The following is a 5,950-nucleotide window of genomic DNA, read 5'->3' on the forward strand; positions in this document are numbered from 1 at the left end:
TTTTTAAACCATATTTAAACCAGAGATCACTCTCATCACCGTCTTGGTTTTGGTGGGTTTTGGACAGCTTCTTTACTGCAACCAGTTTTATCAGCAAGGTCTTTATGACCTGTATTTTGTGCTGAATTCCTATCTCATCCTGTGACCTAGAATGCCTAACTAAGAATGCAGCCCAGTATTATGTCTTAGCTTTATTTTACACAGCCTTTATTCAAGATGGGGTTTCTCTGGTTTAAACACCTCTGACAAATGCATGATATATCAAAACTTATGGGATGAAACAAAAGCTGTGTTTAGTAGAATATTTATTATTAAATAAAAAATCATAAATGTAAAAAATTAATGATTATTTGTGCTTCATACCAAGAAAGTTAGGGGGGAAAAAAAGAAAAAAAAAACAGCAAATAAACCCTAAAGAAAACAAAGGGAAAGAAAGGAGATAGTGAAATAGTAGAGACCAATGGGGTAGAAAAATCAAATATGTCACATACAACAATTAAAAATACTATGCATAGCTATATGAACAATACTAATCTCACATGCTTTGAAAGAAAAAAGGAGAAAATAAATACAGGAGCAAATGCTTTATTGTGTTTTTTGCAGCACAAAAATTTCAAAATTAATCTATAATATACTATTAGAAGTCACATTCATTTTTGAAGGATTTTAATGACTGCAAGGTAGCAAGAGGCACGGGACTCTTTAGGATGCTGGAAATTTTTTGTTTCTGAAATAGTCTGGATAGGCTTAGATTATAAAAAATATTTTATAATGTTAGTGGAAAAACAAACTCTTTAAATATTTCTAAGAGGTTTATTCTGAGCCAATGTGAGTGACCATTTTCAGGGAACAGTCTCAAGAGGTTCTGAGAAAGTGTGTGTGAGGCACTCTGGTTACAATTTGGTTTTATAAATTGTAGAAAAACAGAAATTGTAGGTAAAATAATAAATCAATACATGGAAGGTGTGCATTGGTTCAGCCTAAAGAAGGGGAATATGTTGAAGTGGGGGCTTACAGGTCATAGATTGATTCAAAGATTCTGATTGGTAATTGGTTAACAGAAATAAGCTTTATGTAAAGACTTGAAGTCAGTAGAAAGAAATGCTTGAGTTAAGATAAGGGGAGTTAGGGAGGCCAAAGCCCTTCTTATGCAGATGAAGTGCCATAAAGCCATCAAGCTCTCTATTAATCTCTCCTAGATCCAGGAAAAACATAGAAAGGGAAGACCTGGCTGCAATAATGGAGATTCTCTACTAACCCAATTTTCTCCCCCAGAAGAGGACCTTGTAGGACTTTTCAAAGTATGTCAAAAAGATATACTCTAGGGTAAAATATTTTTATTTCCCTCAAGGTCTGCTGTCATTGATGCTATACCAGAGTCAGGTTAGAAAGCAAGCCACATTACACCAGAATAATTTTAAAAATTTTTTTAATGAAATTGTATGGTTTTTAGGGTGTGACTTAACCCTTGCCATGCATGGCCTTAGGATTTGTTTATAAATAGGTACCTTATTTCCATAAATAGTCTGTTTTGTCCATCTTATTATTTCTACATTGATGTAAACTCCAAAAGGGAGGGAGGATAACGAGGCATGTCTGGGGACCCTTTTTCCATCAGGCCAGGAATTCAGTTTTTCAAGTCACTCTGAGGTCCTTGAGGCCAGGAGAGGACCTGTTCAGTCAGTTAGGGATCCTGAGAATTGTATTTTTGGTGTACAATATTTATAAAAATATATAATATTTGATATGTATTTTATATATGAAGCTGAATTTTTTTTTTTTTTTTGAGACAGAGTCTTGTTCTGTCACCAAGCTGGAGTGCAGTGGTGCGATCTCGGCTTACTGCAACCTCTGCCTCCGGGGTTCAAGTGATTCTTCTGCCTCAGCCTCCCGAATAACTGGGACTACATGTGCGCACCACCACGCACAGCTAATTTTTATTTTTAGTAGAGACAGGGTTTCACCATGTTGCCCAGGATGGTCTCAATTTCTTGACCTCGTGATCCACCGGCCTTGGCCTCCCAAAGTGCTAGGATTACAGGTATGAGCCGCTGTGCCCAGCCATGAAGGTGAATTTTAATATATTTTTTAAAACTCTTAAAGAATGCTTAAATTGTAGAGTGAAGAACATGTGTAGAAACTTAGCTGTATAAAATAACATGAAGAGTCCAATACATATTACGTTGATCTGTATTTCTTGAACACAGGAAGTATGAGAAAATATGTTTGAAGATAATACCGGGGGAAAAATACAGGAGACAGTTCATAGAGTCTGGTGGGTTTAATAATTTTTTTCAAACCTTATAGTGGAATAGATTATATTTTTACATGGAAATTCTAGAAAGCATAGAACAGTAGAAAGAAAAAATATATTTTTAATACTCCCAGCCCCAAACAATTATATAGTTTTGGTTATGTATTTTGTGTTATTCTCTTTTTTACATTATAAAATTAATATAAATAACCCTGCTTTTTTTTTTCTTTGGTAGTATTATGGTACATAGTCAGGCAGACATGAGCAGGGCAGGAGAGCCAAATCCCCCAGGAGCATCAGGCAACTATCAGGTGATGGTCAGGCAGTTGTTAAAACTGTCTGTCTAAAATAATAGTTAGTTGCAGCCAGTGCCAGGGAAAGGCAGTCTCCCAATAGATAGCAACATCAAAACTGGTGATTAGCAGCTTCCTGATAAGGTCTCAGGAGCTGGGCGAGTGCACTTGAGCATGCTTACTAACAAAAAAAATGGGAGCGTTCAACTGCTATATGATCTCCTCCTAGAAACACTCAACAGGTGAGAACAGAACACCTCAAGTGATTTTATATTAAATAAATATTTTTCATAGAATTTAAACATTGGCTTTATAATATATAATTTTAGAAGTAATGAAAATTGACAACTATTTAAATCTACAATTATTTCTATAAAAATAGAGAAAAAGTATTATAAGTTATCTAAACATCTTGCTTTACAGATAAGAAAACTCATGTCTAAACAGGTAAACATACTTATCCAGTGTCAGATAGTTTAGGATAAACCGGTTATATTTCCTAAATAACTTATTTTCTGAGACCCTTACCTTCTTCTTAAAGTAAAAGTACTTAGATTTAAAAGAAAATCTTATTTGAATTATATATCCAACTGTACTCTATTGTATGAGTCAATATAGGTGATTAGATAAAGCATAACAATTTTTTCTACTTGGAGACTCTGAGGAAGTTTGAGAAAGCTTTTGGAAAATGAACCATCTGAAGAATTGGTAGTAAGTAGATCATTGATGGAGGAAGAAGGAATTGTGAGTATTAGTTTATCAAAGAAATGAAAGCGGCTGGAGGCAAATTGCTAGGCAAATAGGGGCAGGTTTCCCGTGAAACCCCACCTTCTGGCTGGAGACAGCCTGAAATCTGAACCCCAGGCTGCCAGTTCCACGTAGAATCCACACCCACAGTGAAAATTTCCTTGATGCCTGTTAGCCAGTCAAATGATGCTTTTTCCAGGCCCACTCATGGACCACTCAGCACACACTTCTTCCTGCCCGTAGACCAATGAGCATGTACCTCATTCTGAGCCCATAAAAACCCCCAGACACAACCAGACTGGGACAGACATCAGGAGCGCCCCCCAGCGGGTAGGAGCTACCCACTTTGGGTCTCTTCTCTGCTAAGAGCTGTTCTGTCACTGGGTAAAAGTCTTCTGCCACGCTCACCCTCCAGTTGTTGGTGTAACCTCATTCTTTCTGGATGTGGACAAGAGCTTGGGCCCCACCGAATGGCAGAGGCTGAAAAAGCTGTAACACTCTCCTGGCCTTCTTGCTGAACTGTGGGCAGGCCTGCAAAGGGCTGTAACACATTCCTGGCCAGCTTGCCAAGCTGTGGGTGGTGACACCATCCCGATCATCGGACTGTGAAAGTGAAAGTGAAGAGCGCCAACACTTCTGGGGGCCCAACTTCATCAGGATTCCCCAAGCCGGAGCTTGTGGCCACACCATGTGATGGGAAGTGATGGCAGGGGTGAGATAACCAGGGAGTTCTAGGTGGGAGCAAGGTGGCAGGACTAAAAAAGCCATTATAATCTTAGTCATTTGAGAAATATTTATTGGCACCTTTTATATCCTAAGCCTTGGTCTATGTTCCTGGGAAATATGAATGAAAAGAATGAACAACAATACGATTTCAATGAGTTAGCATTTTAAAAACACGAGACATGATCAGCATAATAATTAACCAACTAACTAACTAACTAACTAAATAAATAAATAAATAAATAAATGTAATTTTAAAATGATAAATTCCTCAGATGCCGGCTGTGGAAATGAGAGAGCTGTAGCACCCCGCCCCCCTTGGGGTTCTGCAGTTGCTGGCGTCTCCAACTTTTTTGTGTGCCACCACGTTCCCCACATTCCCCTCATCCAGACCCCAGCGCCTGCAGCAGAAACTGCTTGCTGTACGCCTGGTCCAGCCGCAGCCTTATACAAAACTGGCACCTGTGTAGGCACCTGGAGCTGCCTGCTGCACCACAACAGCCAGAGCGCCTTGTTGTGCGCAGTGGCTGGATCCTACACTTGCTCGCTTAACACCCCTCGTAGCCCCACACTTGGCTCACTCTCACCAGGCCTGGGTTCCGGGCTGTTAGCGGGAGCCAAATGCAAGCTACTGGTCCGAGTTGGGGCAACAAGCTCTGCAGGTGCGAACAAAACTCAAGCAGAGGCACCACCAGCCACACAGGTTTCTGGCTGGCAAGAAGTGACACCCAAAGTATCCTGTGACAGAAACGACTCTCGTTTACAAGCTGACAGAACAATGGGATAAACCAGAAATTATGTACTGGGATTATTGAGAGTATTTCTTATATTTTTAATAGTTTTATTTCTGGCAACAGACTACGGGATTTCATTTCCCAAACACATGGTATGAAAATGTCTTCTATATTCTCAATAAAATCAATAATTATGCATTTGTTTTGTAAATATTTCTGAACGACTTTTTTTCTCACATTTCAAGAACCATTAGCAAACTAAAGTTAAAAACCCAAATCCCATTTTAGCAGGAACTTTTATCTCAGGAAATGCTGCTGTGTATTTTCACAATCAAACCTCCTCTGAAGGAGGCCTAATTAGAGGCTTCATTATGCACCTGGTGAAAATTAACTTTTAAGCAGCCTTTAAAATAAGTTTTTAAATTATCATTATGCAAAAACTGCAAAAATACCTGTAATTGTATTTACAAAGCAAAATTGTTATAATCACCTCTAACATTCAGGAGCAACCTCAGGATTTTAAATTTTTTAATAAAAATTAAAATAGAAACCCTCATTATTGATTCATGAACCTTTTTTTATGAGCACAAATGTTATCATTGACATTTGTCAACTGCTAAAATTTAACATGTACTGAATGCTAGTTCCTTAAAATTGAACTTAAATATCTTGGAAATATGTTTAATTACTGGAATAAAGGTAAAGGTCATATATAAAATATTTAAATATTATTATGAATTTTACTATTTTCTTAGGGTTAGATTTTGGAAATAGTATTTTAAGAGAGAAATAAAATTGAACATACACATTTTAAAAATGAGACTATTTTCATTTTGTATGCTTCATTTAAGGAGTAATGTTGCTTAAAATTGATCTGTGTGTGTGTCTGAGTCAGAGAGTAACATTTTTTTCCACCAGTGTTGCTAACAAACAAAATGCACTGCAGTCTATTTTGAGCCACAGTTAGCCAAAAACTAAAAATGCACATATATAGTCAAACAGAATTCTTTTTTTTTTTTTTTTTTTCAAGACCAAGTTTCCCTCTTGTTGCCCAGGCTGGAGTACAATGGCACGATCTCGGCTCACTGCAACCTCCGCCTCCCGGATTCAAATGATTCTCCTGCCTCAGCCTCCTGAGTAGCTGGGATTACAGGCATGTGCCACCATGCCTGGCTAATTTTGTATTTTTAGTAGAGACG

At 37.9% G+C, this 5,950-nt stretch overlaps 1 long non-coding RNA gene across 1 annotated transcript; it reads right to left on the minus strand.

The window, feature by feature from the left end:
• Positions 1 to 4,073: 4,073 nt before the first annotated feature.
• Positions 4,074 to 5,794, minus strand: LOC124900851 (uncharacterized). The gene is made up of 2 exons (XR_007058451.1): positions 4,605 to 5,794; positions 4,074 to 4,128 (listed from the first exon to the last, which is right to left on the minus strand). It is a non-coding gene; the product is annotated as an uncharacterized LOC124900851 (long non-coding RNA).

The sequence above is a fragment of the Homo sapiens genome, chromosome 4 (assembly GCF_000001405.40).
Source record: "Homo sapiens chromosome 4, GRCh38.p14 Primary Assembly".
Lineage (NCBI taxonomy): Eukaryota > Metazoa > Chordata > Mammalia > Primates > Hominidae > Homo > Homo sapiens.